The 19,275-nt window shown below is 36.3% G+C and overlaps 1 long non-coding RNA gene across 1 annotated transcript in view; it reads left to right on the top strand.

Annotated features, from left to right (window-relative positions):
• Window positions 1-2,608: 2,608 nt before the first annotated feature.
• The window catches only part of LINC01923 (long intergenic non-protein coding RNA 1923), a 75,735-nt gene continuing 59,068 nt past the window's right edge, over window positions 2,609-19,275 (top strand). Inside the window, exons 1-2 of the long non-coding RNA NR_110267.1 lie at window positions 2,609-2,823; window positions 3,089-3,230. This is a non-coding gene — a long non-coding RNA (long intergenic non-protein coding RNA 1923). The remainder of the gene's footprint in view (window positions 2,824-3,088; window positions 3,231-19,275) is intronic.

Genomic DNA, 19,275 nt, shown 5'->3' with positions numbered 1-19,275 from the left:
AGACCAATGTATTCAAAGTCAACTGAAGAAAACAAAGGGTGCAAACACAAGATAAAGTAGCATCACTTTGAGGAACTAATTTAAACCAGAAAGCAAGCTTTGAAACAGAAAAGACAAAATACAATTCAAATCCTGGCTGAGTTCCAAATTTGGACATAAATCCTTTCACAGATGATATGCTAAAATGGGTTTGTTCATTCAGCAACTATTACGAAGAGCCTACTGCATGTCAGTTATCTCTCTGGGCACTGGGGAAGCAAAAGCAGACACAACAGACAAAACCCCTGCCCTTTGGGGCGTACACATGGATGGCGACAAGAGATGATACACAGGTGAGAGATATGGCAAGTCAGATGGTGATAAGTGCCATGGAAAAAAATAAAGCCAGAAAGTTGTGTGAAATGCCGAGTCCACTAGGGAGGGTTGCTTTTTTTGTTTTTTTTTTTTTTAATACAGAGTCTTGCTCTGTCACCCAGGCTGGAATGCAGTGGCACAATCTTGGCTCACTGCAACCTCTGCCTCCTGGGTTCAAGCAATTCTCCTGCCTTAGCCTCCCGAGTAGCTGGGACTACAGGCGTGCACCACCATACCCAGCTATTTTTTGTATTTTTAGTAGAGACGGGGTTTCACCATGTTAGCCAGGCTGGTCTTGAACTCCTGACCTCAGGCAATCCACCTGCCTCGGCCTCCCAAAGTACTGGGATTACAGGTGTGAGCCACCGCGCCCAGCTGAGGGCTGCTATTTTTAAGAGTGGTCAGAGACACCTACGCAGTACATAGATGACTTTGGGGAAAGATATTATGCAAGTGAGGAAGTGAGTCATGAAGGTATCAGGGAAAGGAGCACTCTAGGAAGAGAAAATAACAAATCCCTTGGAGGCAGGGATTTTCCTGGATTATCAAGCAAGTGCAAAGTGGGACATGTGGCTGGCGTGAAGTGAGCCAGGGAGCAGAGTAAGGGAAGAAGCCAAGAGGCATCTCAGAGGTCAGATCCAGTAGAGCCCTGGTGTCATTAACAGCACTGTGGCCGTCACTCTGTTCCGTAGAGAGCCACTGGTGGGTTTTGAGAAAGGGACTGAAATGAACTGATATTTAACCTCTATGGATTTGATGTCGGTGTATTGGAGTGAGGAGAAATGGACACAGGAAATGATGACAGCGGCTTGGATTACTGTCTTAAAACTGAGGTTTTATCCTGAGAAAATTCCCTTTTCTAAGACAGGAAGGACTGTTAAGAAGTGGCCTGTTTTGTGAGATTAGGATGGAGATCAGTTTGAGAAGCCCGTTGGACATCCAAACAGCAATGTCCAGTGAAAAAGAAGTTAAATACACATGCCAGGAGTTGAGGGAAGTAGTCCTGGCTGGAAAGAAAAAATTGGGATTTTTCAGAATATAGACAGTATGTAAAGCCTGAGAGATGAGATTAACCTAGAAAGCGAGTGTAGAGAGAGACACCTGAGCTTCCCTGGGTTCAAGAAGATGAGATACAGGCTGGGTGTGGTGGCTCACACCTGTAATCCCAATACCTTGGGAGGCCAAGCTGGGAGGATTGCTTGAGTCCAGGAGTTCCAGACCAGCCTAGGCAACACAGCAAGATCCCATCTTCATTTAAAAAAATATATATTTTTTAAGCTTTTTAAAAGAAGATGAGACACAGCTAGCAAAGGAGTGGAATAAGAGCTGCTGGTGAGGGAGGAAGACAACCAGAGCCATGTGAAAGAAATCATTTAAAGAGGAGTGAGTGATCCCCTATGGGGAAAAATAAAATGCTGCTTCTATGTCAATCAAGATGAGGGCTGAGTCACTGTATAGGAGGCAGCAATAAAAAAAATAAAGTAAAAGATGAGGGCTGAGGACTGACCATTAGGTTTAGCATCATGGAGGTCCTTGATTTTAGGAACAGAGCATCAGTGGAGCAGGAAAGGAAAGAAGGAGGGGTGGAAAGCCTAGGACATCAGATACAGACAGCCCTTTGAGAGGTTCTGCTCTAAAATGGACTGAAAAATGGCCAGGTGCGGTGGGGCATGCCTGTAGTCCCAGCTACTCGGGAGACTGAGGTGGGAGGATCCCTTGAGCCCAGGAGTTCAAGACCAACCCAGACAACATAGTGAGAGCCAGTCTCAAAAAAAATAAAATTAAATAAAAAATAAAATGAATTGAGAAATGGAGAGGCTGCAGGAGAAGTGGGGTGAAGAGAGATAGGAGAAATTACAGCAGAGAAAGGGAACGTTTGATGATAAGGAAAAGGACGAAGCAACTGCTGAAGTGGCATCCAGTGTCAGGCTCCAGAGGAGTGAGGGGCTCTCTGATCAAGAGGAGGGGCTGGTCTCAAAGAGGGTGAGTAGAGTACAACCATGGTAACAGCAGGACGCAGAAGCACTGGCACGGAGGCAAGTAAGAGGCTGAATGTGGAAAGTCAACCCCCAACGTGTTGGACCAGTTAATGCTGCTGGTCTCTCTGAGAGGTAACTATGGAAATCTATAATAAGCCAAAGCAGCTGCACCCACAGCTGATGTGAACCTGGAAGATACAGCCATGTGAGAGGACCACGTCATTATTATGGAAGGGGTTCTTAGAATTGCCACCCAAGTAGATTCTGTTGGAGATGGGAGGAGAAAGGGAGGAAAGGGAGTAGAGAAGGCCACACACAATCTTAAATTCAATATTTCACTCCCGTTAAAGATAAGCTGTTTATAAGCTCCAGTGTAGGGCATGTAATTCTATGTAAAAACTCTGTGGTTCCTCTTCCCACATGTAAATCATGATCACTCTACATTCTGCTCTCTGGGAGCCCTCAAGGCAAAGAGACAACAAGACTCGAGGTATAGTAATAAAAGTCTGGGTATTATAAAATCCACCCTGAGCTCCAAGAAAAGAATAGAAAGAAGGAAGCTCTGAAAAGTACTAATTTACCAAAGTTCAATGCAGTTTTGTAAATTTTTATTAACATCCTCGGAAATCCAAATGCCCATCTTGAAACTGAGGGTTTTTTTCCTCAATTATGGCTATATATGCTTTAAAGATAAACTATGAATTCTCTTTAAACTAAGTGCCTTGATAAAATAATGAGTATTAAATACATTTCAGACCACAGAAAGGACTTATCACAAGTCTTTGTGGTAGCTGAGGAGTGCCCCCTACAGACTGATATGCACAATGCAAGCAGATGAAGAGGAAAGAACTGAGCAGCAGTATTTCAGGATTCTCAATAAGGCATCAATGAAAAAAGGTAAGAAACCTTTGCTGAACAAAATGTGACACTAAAGGCTAGGAAATATATGGACACTATGAATTCTTGTTTTTACATATTTGTAAACAGCAAGAAATGAAAAACCTTTGTTTGGACTTTTCTTCTTTTTGACTCTCACCACCGATTGCCCGCAACTGAAGAATGTATTAGTAAAGTCTGTTTTGTTCTTTGGTTACTTCATATCAATATTTGAATACAAATGAAAATAGTAAAATAGTAAAAAAGATATTTTATTCTGCTGTGCAAAAACAACTACCTGGATTCAGAAATTATTTACTTCAGATGTCGGCAACAAAAATAAAACGTAACATATCTATTAAAATGAAGTTAAATGAATTCTAGTTTGAGGTTTTATTCCTTTTTGTAAAGACTCCACAGAGAAGTATTTGCCTTCTATGAATGTTATCGCTTAAAATGTTTATGTTTTTCAAACTAAAAATCACAAAAAGACATGAAAAACATATCCTATGTTTATGAATAGATTTAAAAATATATAAATCTATAAATGTCAAAATATATTACTACACTAAGATTCAATATTACACACTATATAAAATATATTACAATAATATTTGAGAGGCAGAAAGTTATATAGTATATAACCTCATCATAGTTAATAAATTTCATACATAACAATATATTCCAGTTTAATTTTCCATTTGTAAGAGAAAGGAGACAAAATATAATTCAAAACCTTTACATTTTTTATTAAAGATTTTTAGAAACGAATACTGGTGCAATTTAAATGTACCAATATGTTTGATGTCTTTAAGTTAAACTCAGAATTTTATAAATACTTAGCAATGGACAGAATAGTATTTATCCAAATTAACAGCCTTTTACATGATCTTTGAATAAATGTAGATCTTTGGAAAAATGCGTTTAACATCATAAAATGTTCATTTAGACTCAATTTCACATACACTCAGGAGATATACATAAATGTATGTGATTAAATTGATAAATTACACTTCCAAGCATTTTCATAAAGAATGTTTTTCACACTCAGAAAGAGACAATTAGGGTCATGTTTTGATGGCTTCTTTTTCTTATGGAATTTAATAAGATATAATCAAATATTTATATATTGCTTCTTCTAAAATTTTTTAAATTGCATAATAATGAAATTAGAAAATATATTCTTTCCTGTAGGTAATAAAAGCCAATGTACTTACAAAAAACTGCTTGCTATATTAATCTTCCTAAGTGTTCTGGTTATTGACCTAATAATCACAATTGTCTCTTCTTTCCCTCTTCTAATAATATATACATGATGCATTCAGATGTTAAAATGCAGCACTTGTGGAAATGTCTGTTAAAAAATATTAACATATAGGCCCCAAAAATGTATAGTACATTCGAATTAATGAAACTGACTGTTTTTACATGTAATTAACCTCTTGAATGCACTCACTCTCATTATAGAATCCTTGCCAAAATGCAGTATTGCATTTTGGAAGGAATGAAGGGGAAGGGGAGGAGAGGGGAGGGGAGAGGAGAGTAGGGGAGAAGAAAGAAGGAAGAGAGAAAGAGGAAGACAGAGGGAAGGGATTAGGCAGGTCAGCCAACTGATTTAGGTAAATGAATCCACGTTTATAAACATGCACGTTGTAAAATTAACAATTTTCAGAAGAAAGGAAATAATTTACAAGAATAGCATTGATTCAGAAATAAATGTTATTATTCCTAGATAACAAATACAAATAAAAAATCAAATGCCTTAAATATACAATGTTGATTATATGGTCTTATCTTGTGGAAATGTACAAAAGTACAATTAAGATAATTTTGAATAAACTTTTATTCAAATTGAAAACACAATTTTATGTTGCATATACTCCTTTGGTGTTTAGAAGATATCATAAATTCAGTTACTTCCTTATGCCCCAGAAAATGCGGATATTTTTTAGAAAGGCTATTGCTTTCATACTGTTTCTAACATGAAAAACGCTACCTTTTTTGGCTAATACAAAGAAACCACAATTAACAGTGAAACCATAAATACTTTCTGTGTTAACCACAAATGGCCTTTCCCATAGAGAAATGGCTTACATGTGTTCTAAATGTGTTTGGTTTCGTTTTGTATGGAAGGAGCTGTGGGTATGTTTTTATCTAAGAAAAGAATATGGCATGCACATGCACAACTTTCTAAAATGAGAAACACTCATTGAATTTAATCGGAGTTTCGTCTGGGGCGGAAATTCAGAATTAAGCTCCATGGGTGATGATTTTGGATTATCTGGACAGGACTTCAGGGTCTACTTGCCAAACTTTCTTGGACTCTCAGTGCAACATGAGGCAGAAGGGAGCTTCGCCTGTGTCCTATTATTGTATCTGGTGTAACCATGGGCCGATCTCACCAGGCATAGCCTTCACACACTTTCACTTTATCAGTTTCGTTTGAGTCAGTCCCATACTCAACTGTCCACTGCTCGTGACTCTGCTCTGCTTGAGTCTTTTGTGTGTGCCTGTGTGTGTGTAACCGTACCTCATTTCTTCAGTATTACACATCCTGTGAATATCAGGGAGTCTATGGAAATCTACACGTTGATGCTTGAGTATTACACATCCTGTGAATATCAGGAAGTCTATGGAAATCTACACATGTTGATGTTTATAATCATTTTTCTATTTGAATATAACATGTGCTGGGTCATCTTTATAAATGATGGCAACACTCTGAGAATACATAAGAAAGAGAAAGTTTCTTTCAAAAATGTGACCTTTGCTCACTTCTATTACTGAGTCTCCTTGGAAAAGATCTAAATGGAAATTAAACCAAATTTTTGTTTTGTAGTTTTTCAGTGGTCATATATAAAATAAAAAAATGAGGAAATCAAATTTAACAAATGAACAACTCAGGATTTGTTCAGAATACTCTCTACCCAGTTGAATTTATACCCACAAAATAGCACATCTAAGCAAAAAGATTTTCTCCATAGAAAGCATTTTTTAGAAAACTTTCTGTAAATACGTACCCCACTAAAGATTCATCTAGTCCTCTGTTATCTTAATAACCTATAGAACTATTCCAAAGAATAAAAAGGCAGCCTTCTTATCATTTGCAAGCTTAAGACAATAAACTGAACATTTGTTTTCTCATTTTGTTTACTTTATATGTGCTAAGATGATTACTAATTTTAAAAGAAGAAAACTATAATCTTCGTGGCCCTGTAAATTATTTGATTTTTAAAAAGCTAAGTATTCATAGCATTGAAACTAGATTTTTAAAAAAGAAAACATTCAGTTCAGAAATAGTAATAAAACCCTTGTTTGACATCATGTAGACAAAGCTATTAATTGACCTATGAATTTATTGCTTTTATGTGAATTTGTGATTAATTTGAATATGGTTGTAAGTAATGCTAATGATCTGTGATTCAAAATTAGGGTTATTTTGGTTGGTTGGTTGATTTGTTTTCATGAGGATGAGGCCTGGGAGTGTGTGGAGGCATCAGTGGGGGTGGGTCCCCTTGCCTAGAGGGAGATATAATGGAATTATCCGCAGCTATAGGTCTTTTTCTACCAGAGTAACTGTCCATTTACCCCCTTATGTTGAGCTATTAAATATACATAATAAAACTTGGAAAGTCTTTTATTCTGCTTTCACCCAATTACATTTTTAAAAATGCATTCAAATATATACAGTCAAAAAACGTGTATTAGTCTTTGGTATGTAGGCTTCTCTGTAACTAAGATAGCTACCTATATTTAAAATATTGTCAGATATATACTACTAAAAGGGCATGTATCATCAGATATACTCTTATTTTGATTACAGTTTAAAACTTGATTACACTTAAAAACCTAAAATATGTTCTTTGTGAGAATTTTCAATATTTGGGGAATGAATGGCCACCATGGGTGAATGTTGAGAATTCTTTTGAAAGGAAATTTCTTACATTCATTTTATAAATCAGGTGAATGCAAAAGATAAGAGTGTATGTTTTTAATACATACAGTTTGATTACAGTTAAAAACTTCAGACAAGGTACATAAAAGGTACAAGGTACATAAAAATAAAATCTTAAACTAAGGAGATAAACCATAAACACTTTTGGCTAATCCTAAGGTGTTTCTTAAAAAGGAATTTTAAGGTGATTTTTTAAAATTCTAGAAATAATCTTAGTGTAAGATGGTGTTATAAGATATTAGAAACCTTAAAAGCTGCCTTATAACACCATCTTATACTTCTCAATATATTTCCATTTACCTTTCCATCTGCAATACTAACAAAAGAAAACAAATATAAGTGCATCACATATAATCAAGACCATTTTTACTATCACATGAATATTAAAACAATAATGTCTTACAAACAGCATCAGTCTTATAAATGAAGTTTTAAAAACATACACTCTCATCTTTTGCATTCACTTGATTTATAAAATGAATGTAAGAAATTTCCTGTCAAAAGAATTCTCAACATTCACCCATGGTTGCCATTCATTTCCCAAATATTGAAAATTCTCATAAAGAACACATTTTAGGTTTATTGTCAACCTCATTTGATGTTTCTTAAAGTGAGGTCCATGAACCACTTACATCACAATTTATTTCTGAAACTTGTTAAAATGCAGATCGGAATCTCTGAGGTGGGGCCTGGGAATATTCATTTAACCATCCCTGAAGGGCTTCTGACACGTTCTGATGTTGGAAACACCTTCAAATGGCAGTTGCAGGAGCACAGGGCCTTATTAACCTATCTGTCCCCTGCACCTGGGCCTGTACCTGGCACAGAAGTGCGCTGAGCAGAGTGTAGTTGAGACGCATAACTGGCCTGCTGCTTGGATGACCTGAGACCACAGCAGTCCTTCTCAGCTCACAGCTGGTCAGGGTAGGTGCCTTCATCCTCAAGTTCCCCACAGCATGCACCACGCAGCCCGTTTGGGATGCATGGGCACCAAGGAACCCTCGCTTTGTGTGTTACTGAACTGACCTGACATTCTAACCAGAAAATAAATTCTTGCAGGAGAAAGATTTGTTTTGTTTCTTTTGTTCATTCAACATTCATGGTATACATGTTTATTGAGCACTTACTCCATGCCAAATGCCATGTTTAGAACTGGTATGGAGCAAGAACAAAATAGACATATTTTTAGACCACTGGAAACCCCTTGACTCCTGGAATGGTTCTCAGGAGGGATAATCCTGTACCTAAGTGGCAATTTAGACTTATAGTGTGTATTTCCATCTACTAGAATAGTGGTGTCAGAGCATTTACAGCTTACATACATAGTATCTCCTTATATACTTCCCTTTTATATTTCCTACATATTACAGTTACAACATCATAGATCCTCTTTCAATGATGTGCACAAGTAGGTAAGTATTATCTGTTAATTTCATTTAAGATTACTATATTGGGCATCATAAAATATATTTTTGTGATGGATAATTGGGTATAATATGGTTGAAAACCATTAACTTGGTGAATTTTTTAATATTAACTTGAAGATTTCCTTAGCACTAACCAGAGAGATATTTCCAAAGTATTTATAAAAACACATAACTTAACAGATTAAGTAATATAATTTCACTGTGCTGTAAACTTTCCTTTAGTCAATAAAAGCTTTCACATAGTTCTCAGATATATGCATCAGTGGTCTGTAGTTTAATACCATGTCTACATGACTAGGTGACCAAGAGGTTTCATGGTTTGTCAGCTAATTAAGTTAACTATGGCCAGCACTTACTATATCACCCTGAGAACATTCTGACCAACTAGGTGGTGACCATTGACTAAATGACTTTTTTAAAAATCAAACTGCCCACATTAATGTAACTATACTACCTAGACTCAGTTCCATTCCAAAGAAGCAAGCAAAAATTACAAAAAAAGTAGGTGAGATTTATCCCACAAGGAAGGAATATTCTTGATATTTTCTTACACTTGAAGGACAAAGAAAAGAAATGAAAATTACTCAGATGCTATTAAAAAGCAATAATAATTCTATACCTTGGGAGCTCTTTCCTTCATTGAATTCTAAATCACAGAGACACTAACAAAGTTCTACTTTCTTTCTATGAATGATCATTACTGCAATATCTTTAAATACTTATTCTGGCTTACACTGATGCTAAAACAACAGCATCTGATACAGCCCTTGTATTTGTAATTCAGGTATAGCAGGAGTAATCCATCTTTGGCATTAGAAAATATGCTTTATCAGCAAATGAAGAAGGAAAAACGACACCAAATGATGATAAAGGAATGACCCAGAGTAGTTCCATTGAGCTTTTATCACCATACTGTGTGAAGACCATCACTGTATAAGGAATGGCTTTTCCCACCTAAGCCCTCTCCCTCGAGTCAAACTTGTGTTTCCCTTTTAATGAGCAGTAACCACCAGGATGCCTATTACTTAGCTTGCCAGAATGACTACAGATTTATAGGAAAGAGGTAAAAGTAAACACAAATAATTTAAAATGCATTAAGTAGGAAATGCCTTCTTCAACTAAACTATGTTGTACATTTTATCAAAAATGTCAGAAAATATTTGTAAATCTTATATTTTCCTTTCTACAAGAAAAGTGGCACCCATGTCACTCAGTTCAGCAGTGTGAACAGTTGAATGAAATGGAAAACTCTTAAAAGTAGTGAGTAGCTTTTACTAAACTAAGAGTTCTTGAAAGTCAAAAAAAAAGGTTGTATGAAGTGCATCTTTTTCTTAAAATTATTTTTTCAAGACTTTTGATTACCTGGGCCACCATCAATTTACTATATGCATTGATGTAACCATCTATTTTCACTCAACCAGTAGAAAGTAGAAACAATGGATGTAATGTGTTAAGACAAAGGCCTAGGACAGTGGGACATGTTAGGCCATAAACATGTATATATGTGAAGTGCAGAGTTATTCCCTTTCAAAGGATGATGTGGAACACAAGACAAACTCCTACGCTGTGTGCAGTAGTGTCTGAGCCATGCAGATGCAGAGTGCTCAGGATTCTGCAGTATTTGATTGATTTTCATTTATTCCAATACCTCCTCCTACAGCTATTGTTTTTAGTCTGAGCTCTGATACAAAAGAGCTGCAACCCAGGAGGAACAGATATTATGGAGAGCTTCAGAGCTACTTACTCCTTGACAGAACAGTGATGAGAACTAGAAAACTTTGGAAGTCTATAAACCAGAAAGCACCATCTCAGCACAGCCCACAATTCTCTCTGCTTCAGCCCAAGATTTCCAACCCATTCCTTTTCCTTCTTTCCTCGGGAGGATAACGGAAGAAAAATAGCTTATGTATTTCCATATGAGTATCCCCAAAAGAGAAACAAGGAGTAAATAAGAGGTAGTCATAATTATCTGCCTCATTCCATCCCCAACTTTAATCCTCCTGACCCCAAAGACAGAATGCACATGGATTTAATTGGGATCCCAGGACAAAAAATGGCTTGTCAAAAAAGATCATGGTCTCAGGTCTTAGCATTCATACCTACCACAGAGCCCTGCTGAAGGGCAGGAGTGGCCGTTGGCTGGCAGTGTGTTTGAGGGATCTAATCCAGGTTAAACTGTGTGTGTTGTGATGAGCAATTTCACAAAGACATCCTCACTCCTCAAAACTCATGTATTCCTGCAGGTTCATGGGAAAAATGTCAAAAAGGCAACTGCCATATCCAGCATTTAACAAAATCATATTGGTTTCCACTATTTAGCTATAAACAGTCACTAAGGCTTTAAGCCCTTCATTCTTTCTCTTTACCTCCTACCACTTTCTCACTGTTGATAGTGGACAGTCTAGCCAGAATACATATTTCACACGTCAGCTTAAATCACTCCTGTAGCGTGACATCCCCAACTCACACCATCAAAATGACTCCCCTGTCATAAACCCTGCACTCTCTCTTTATGACACTTGTTACACCTGTATTCAAAGTTTATCTTTTCTGGCAGGGCACAGTAGCACATGCCTGTAATCCCAGCACTTTGGGAAGCCGAGGTGGGAGGATCACTTAAGGCCAGGAGTTCGAACCCAGCCCGGGCAACGTAGTGAGACCCCATCTCTACCAAAAAAATTTAAAAAATTGGTGGGGTGTGGTGGCACATGCCTATAGTCCTAGCTACTTGGGAGGCTCCAGCAGGAGGGTCACTTGAACACAGGGGTTTGAGGGTGCAGTGAGCTATGATCCCATCACTGCACTCCAGCTTGGGCAACAGAGTGAGACCCTGTGGCTTAAAAATAAAAAATTATCTTAGAATAAAAATTTCATGACAGCATGGACCATGCATATGTGCATCACCACTATATTAACAATGCTCGTTCCTTGCATAGTGTAGGTGCTCAATAAAATATCAGTTGAAGAAGTGAATAATATTTTAGTATCAGCTGATGGCAAATATTTTCTGCCATGGGACTCAGTAATAAGTTCTCCAGTGAACAGTAAGGCCGTGGATAATATGGATTAACTTTAACATTGCTGTAAAGACCAAAATTCCTAACATCAAACCCTGCCACCTTTTCCAGGTTCACCTTGCACCAGATTTCTCTTACTGTTCATTCACACTATTCTTTCAGTTCTCTGAGTGCACCACAGGACTGCTATACCACCATGGTTGTTTTAAGGGGCTATTTTCTTTGCTGGAAATATTCTCAACACCTCCATCTTGCATCTGTTCCTCATATTCTTTCTCACAGTTGAATTTTGCATTTATTTCTATAACCTTTCAATTCCTCACCAGATCATGCCATCTGTGAAACTAGGACAGTATCTCTTTATATTCACTATAGTATCCCAATGCCTAGCACAATGTAGGCACCTGATAAATATTGTTGCATGATTAGATAAATATTGTTGCATGACAGATGAATATATTTTACTGTGCCTTAAATCATCCAATTATATTACCATCTTCTTTTTGGTATTTATTGCAATGTTGCCTTTGAAACTATACGTTTTTCTATTCTTTATAGAGTTGCTACCACCATAGAATGCAAGAAAGTCAAAAATGTGCCACCTACTTCATAATTTTTCTCCTTTCTCAAGCCAGGAATTTTCCACAGATATACATCAGATTTACCAATTCCTAGATTTCTCCGAGACTATGGCCAGCCTATAGGAAAGGCCTGTCTTTGCATCTTCAGCTTTGGCATTATAACTTTGAATTGTGGTCTGTCACATTCAGTGGCCCCTAGCATTGATTCTTAACAGATATAAGCTAAATTACTACTCCCTTAACGAGTCCTAAGGACTAGACCAAGGTGGATTTAAGAGCTATGTTAGGCCAATGCATTCAAATATGTCCAAATCACTCACATTTTATGGGAGACATACTCTCTATCTTCCACATACAGCAGAGATGCACCTGCCCCCTGTTACCCATCTCAGGGTGGATGACTAGAATTGGTATTTTGATTTCTTGCTTCAAAATGGTAAGGTCTGACATCACCTCTCATCAGAAATCTATAATTGATTTCTTAAAATGGGATGAAAATGACTTTATGGATTACACAATGAGAGGCTAGACACTGAATTAGACTCAGAACAAACAGATAAAATTTTACTTTGCTTAATCTCAGGAGTCCTCTGGGCATAGGCCACTTGCAGGCAGAGCGTTGGCTAGCATTCTTTTCTTTCTGCTCTTTTAAACCACGGGTCATCTTAAGTAGATGTACCCAGTTAGTCAATCCAACAGCCTTTTTGCTGATCTGAGTCTAATTGTGACAAAATATGTGGGGTGTTGACTTTGGTCACCAAACCCGAGCTATTCAAAACTGCTGATGTGCCAGACACAGGTTTCCTTATAGACATATGTCAAAGGCACACTGCGTGCTCTGGCTCCCAAGCAGGGGTTTTAGAGTTGTTGGCTTCCTAGCTTGCAATTTAAACCCTCGGACAAAAGTATTCTTCTGGGTAGTGTGGGTGCAGCGTTTGCAAGCTTTAAGTTGTTTAAGCTGAGTTACCCCAAAAGGCAATTACTGGCAGCATTTCACTATCTTTCTTGCTCCTTTGATGTGGTATTCATTTTGTTTGAGGCATTTGCCTCATTTAGGAGGTATGAAGATTCTGTTAGGAATCTTCCCTCAACCCTTCCTAGGATTGGAGAATGGGTAGTCTCTGTACAAACCACAGAGCCCACTGCATAAATTGAAACACTTAAAAAAAAAACACACACACACAACTGTACATCTAGCATAATGAATCCAGCGTCTAGGCAAAAAAAAGCTGATATCTACAGATTACAGGACGTAACCCCTCTTGGGTTATCACACTTTGCCCCCTTCTCTCATGAGACATTGTAATAAATGTTTTGAAAAGCAGCAAAAACAAAAACAACATCCTGCCTTTAGATTGACATTTGAAAGGTATATACACAACTCTTTTCCCTAATTGTAACTTTACAAAGATCTTGTAGCCTTAGAAAAATGTCTTCAAAGTGTGAACATATCCATCTTCACCTAGAAGAGTGAGCCAGGTGGGTTTCAGAGCTGCATGAGTGGAAGTAGCAACCAGGCCTGGAAAATGAGCCCGCATGTCCCTAGCAACAGGTCAGCGTCTGCTAATTCCCTAGGTTTTAAATTATAACAGGGTAGGGCCTCAGTAAAAATCTGAAGTCCTGTGGGCACTGGAAGAAGGGAAGAGTTTAAGCTACATGCCAAGTAAGCTTCCAGGTGAAGTGGGCCATACTGATGCACAAAAATAGAGTTGCTTTCAAAAATCAATAAGGTCCATTCCTTGGATTTGAATAAGGACAATGTTTATTCTCTGTCAATGAACTTTTATTTCTGGAAAGTAAAATGAGGACAGATAGACTTTTGAAACAGGTTGTAACCAATGGCTCCATTTTCATTATCTATTTCAAAATAATCCACTTTGCTTCATTGGATTCATACTAGCTTAAAAATTTAAGTTATTAATGCAAATTTTTAAAATAGTGTGGTGACGAGAATCAATGTGAGTATGTTAAATAATTGTGCACTTTTATATACTGGGCATGAATATTACTAATGTTTCAAAACCTAAGTTGGCCTTTCTTTGCAAAATGACTAAATCCTTCTCACATTCTCAGTACTAATGATGTCACTCAGAATAATCTCTTTAAAAAAATACTTGTGACTTTTTAAAAAGCCTTTGCCACAAAATATCTAGTTACTACTAATATGAATTCAGGAAGCATGGAGTTAAAGAAGTTGGCTTTTTTTTTTCTTAAATCTGAACAATTGGAATCAGCAGTTTGCATTATTTTAAAAATGAATGCTTAGAATCAGCAATTTTCTTGTTTTTTTTTTTTAAGATCTTGAGGGTTTTTTTTATTTAAAGTGGAAAACTACATTAAGTGCAAGGCAGTCAACAAAGAAGCAGCCATAAAGCCTAAGTATTCCTAGAGTTATAAAATATGTCCATTGTGCCAATTCCACTGCCAACAATGAAGTTTTAAGCATTAATATGCCTTCATTGCAGTTTTAATGCCTTAATACTGACTCTATATCTCTTTTGGGTAATTTTGCTTTCTCTGGTACTTGAAAGGTGATGATGTCAGCATTCTTCTCACTGATTCATATGCAGGTTGATGAAGCTGAGTTATTTATTGAGTTCCATTATATTTTCTATAAACATTAGTTCTCAATAAACAGAGACATTTAGCCGAGGGTTTATTTATTAAATAGGTACTGTACAGATGGTTTTGCCACACATGATGTGCTGCAGAGGATATTACTCAGGAATAATCAGCTGTGTTATAGCTTGGCTAAATTAATAAGATGATAATGATGAAATTGATGCTTTTGAGCTAGGCTTGGTAAATGGTTTTTGCATAAACAAACTGATAAATTTGAGAAGCAATTACTTGCTTGTCAAAGATAAAAACACAACAGGGCCCATTTATAGTTAGGTCCTATTTATTTTTAAAGATTGTACCAGATTTTATGTTTAATACACTGCAATTAAAAAATAATACTTAAATGAAGAAGAATAAAAAAACTAACTTTCTGAGTTCTTCAAATCTGAAAAAACTGCATTGCTTGATTAGACATCAAGAAAACTTTTTTGCTGCATCTGGAGGGAAAATATATCTGAAAAACAACAGTGTAATATTCTACATAAATTTTTTGATCATATAGGCATATTGCACAAACTGCTAATTTACAACTCCTGCTACTCTTTCATCCCCTTCCCCAGAACACACAAACACACAGACGAAGGGAGATACACACACACTTAATAAAGGGCTCTACAGAAACTTGTTTATCTGGTTCCCAAATAGCAAAGGAATTATTTAACCTAGTTAATGATGTTCTACAAAAATTACAGTATTCACCCATCTTCTTCAACTAAAGTTTGTTCAGTTTTTACCTGAAGTCTGAACATGAAAAATACATACCTATTGATGAAATTTACTGAGATATTTTCATTACATAATGCTGGCTTTTTGCACTGTGAAAGTCGACCTGACTTCTAAAATCAAGGAAACAATTAGCTTCCCTTCTCAGCTATAGCAGAATCTTTTAAAGCCCTTAGGGCCCACCTTTTAGACCTGGATATGCTCACGTAAGTTCCATTAATATCAATACAAGCTACACAACAAATGTATATTGTCTACATCTGTGTGTGTGGGGGGTGGAGGTTATGTTTTAAACTATATAAAAAGAACCTACAGGCTATCTCCCTATATACTGCAGCATCTTATCAAAAGCTACTAAATAGCAGTTTTCATTTTTCTCCTTTTTAAAGAGTCTATGATTACCAAAGGTAAGTTTTAGCATATTCTTATTCCTCAGATATATTTACCGGTATCTACAATGAACAATTTGTCATATAGACAGGGAATCACACAAAAAAATTAAATATTTCAGTTTTAGATGTTAGGAATCAAAACTTTTGTAATCATAATACATCTATTTTTAAAAAAGTTACAGAGGCAGAGACCACCACTATTCAAAACTATAACATGATTGTGAGATGAATAAGATCATTGTTTCATTAAAATAGTTATCTTGTCTTTTGTAAAAAAAAAAAAAAAGACTTTGATTTCCTTTATTAAAAATGCGTTAACTTTAACTTAATGCTGTGACCATTCAGTGCAAGCCACAGTGTTAGAATGAGTATTTTGCATTTTATTGTTTGTGTGACATAAAATGAGCTACAGCAAAATGGTGTGTATGTGCATGGTAGAAATTCTATCCCTCTGGGAAGCTCAAAAACACCAAAATATTTATCTTCTCAGGAAATGCCAGTAAGTACTAAAATGTAATGATCCTAAATAAATAAGAATGGGCAGGATTGTTTTTAACAATATGTAACAGATTTTTATTACAAAAATTCACAATACACTGGTCTGATATCAGAATGCCTAATGATTTGTTATAAAACTTCAGTTGTGATTTTCTCCTCCTTGTTAATTGGAAACAACTGCTTCCCAGGACTAATTGCAACTCTATCAAAAAGAAAGGCGAGCCCAAATATGTCTTAAGGGAATGTAAAAACTTTGAAGGTGAGGGCCCATAAACTGAATTAAAGGATGAAATTTAAAACCATTCTATAAGCTATGCTTTCTAGAGACTCTTGCAATGAGCATCAAGGAAATAAATCCAAAGAGTTTTCCAGTGATGATATCAAGAGGCATGAAAGCATAACATACTGACATGCCTTAGATAGTGAATCCACATTGATCAGCTCACAAATTGCTTACTGTTAATAGAAATTCTATGTTGGGTTTGAAATGTCATTTGCTTTACTGAAAATAATTTTTGGTAAGTGCTTAGCAGAAACTGACTGCTTGAAACTGGTCTGAATTACCTAAGAGCACTGATCTGCACGTGAACGCTGCCCTAAGCTGTAATCTTGGTAATAATCCTACCTAACATGTATCATTTAGTTCATACTTGAAAAATTCAAGATATTCTAAATTACCTAAGAAATTAAAGAATGAATAAGTGCAATGGTAGCTCTGTGTTTCTTGTTCTGCTATTAAAGATTGCAGAAATCTGAATTGATTTCTCTTGATTTCCAACGTGCATGATCCTATGTCACAAACCTGACTATCTGGTTTTGCCCTTCCTTTTATAAATACTCTGCAATGCTGATTCCCAGTAATACACGGCACACTCTTGACAACTAATACGAGGGTTATTTGGTTCTAATACTTAAAGGATTTGTAAAAATTTGCTGCTTATTTGGCAGTCTAATGTTCAAAACAAGTAATGTTGAACTTAGGAAACATATCTTGACATTAAAATTGTCACATTTGTAAAGTTGTTTCTAATCAATGTTCATGTGACACATTTTTTCTCAAAAAAATAGGGAAATATTCTAGTTAAAGTTCACATATAGATATAGAAAAAGGGAAACCATTTTCCTAGTCAAAAATCATAACAAATAATTTTATAATTAAAAAATTTTATTATCTATGTGTTTTATCACATATTTTATCAATATATACTAATTTATATTTACCATTTGCTATATTTAATAGTCCTATATTAAATGTTGGTAGATCTATTCAATTAAATAATCAAAAAGAGAATCAAAGCTCTCTTTTTGACACATTTTGACAGCTATTTTGGGTTTATGGTTTTAAAAATAGTACTGTTTCACATTTTAATAATAAATCATATTTTAAGAATAACAAAATACTCAGAAACATTTACCCAGTTCTAATAGACATGAGCAAAACAGTTCTAATATATTTATTTGCAGTGCCAAAATGTAGTCATGGTTTCTCGTGTTTAAGAAATTTTTCCCTTTGTGTTAAATAATTTTATTGGTTAAAATAATCAAAATCACATTCATTAAATTATTATTTCACATGCAATGAAAAACACTGGATATAGCAGTGGTGAAATTATAAACTCTAACAGAGAATACAGAATGCTCCTTATAGACATACATCGGAGCAGGCTCCTCAGCTAGAAAGCTGAATTATGCCGATTACAAAGCAATTGTATAAGATGGCTTGCATAGATTAGAACACTAAGCAACCATTCAAAATGAGAGTGGGAGAATGTCAAAGGCACCAAGTAGAATAGAACGATGAATTCCTGCCACTCTGTCTCTTAGACTCCGTCTCTTTCATATTTACTTTTCATTTCACTCTTAGATACGAGTATGTGTCTCCAAAGGCTAAAAATGCATTCATTCATTTATTCATTGTTTCTCTCATTCATTAACTGAGTACCTAATGAGTGCACTGCAGGAATGCTAAAATGAATCAAGCAAGGGTCCTATCTCAGAAAGCTCAGAATAGTGGGAGAGACAGCAGAATGTAAGAGACATGTATCCCAGTATCACCAAGTAAAGTACAGCACAGAAGAAAAATTCATTAACAGGTCGCAACTGAACCAACATGCTCAGCTCTTGTATGTGCACGAAAACTGAGGTATCATAAGTCCTGGGAGAAACCAGGAACATGAAGTCTGAGGTTGAATTGATGAAAGAACATGGTAGATACCCAAGCAGATGTTTTTCATCCCAGAACATGTTCCCTGAGATAAGAAACGAGAAAGTGGGACCAAATGTCCAGTTCTAAAATGCAAGAGGAATGTGGGAATGGAAAGGAAGATAAGAGAGAGATGATGGACAAATAACTGAAAAAAGTCCTTTCCATGTTGGAAATGTCTAGATCTTCTGAAAATACTGTTCTTTGAGCAGTAGGTAATTATTTTCTGCTTATATCCCCAAAGACTTCTTTATCTAGGGTAACAACAGCTTCTCCTTTCCCCCCATTTATTCCTCTGCTTCTCTGCTGAGATTCCCAACAAAGATGCCAATTAGTGCCAATTGTCATGATGTTTTGAGATGTAGACACCTGTCTTCTAATAACTGGACTGAGACCACCAACTCATTTCATACAGACCATCAAACAGACATCAACTAGTAATGGCCTACATTTACTATCAACCTGGGCTCAAGCCAAGACCTTCTCCCATGGAACTGCTCAGCATTCTTGACGGCAAACAACAAGTTCAATATGTGCTCACTCTACTCCAATAAGTGGACCAGTACCTGTGGCAATAAGTGCCACTAAATAATCATGTCTCCCTCTCATTCTCTATGTTACCACCATATTTGACCTTTGTAGAGTCAG

This window comes from Homo sapiens, chromosome 2, assembly GCF_000001405.40.
Source record: "Homo sapiens chromosome 2, GRCh38.p14 Primary Assembly".
Lineage (NCBI taxonomy): Eukaryota > Metazoa > Chordata > Mammalia > Primates > Hominidae > Homo > Homo sapiens.
This window is presented reverse-complemented; position numbering and strand designations above follow the sequence as displayed.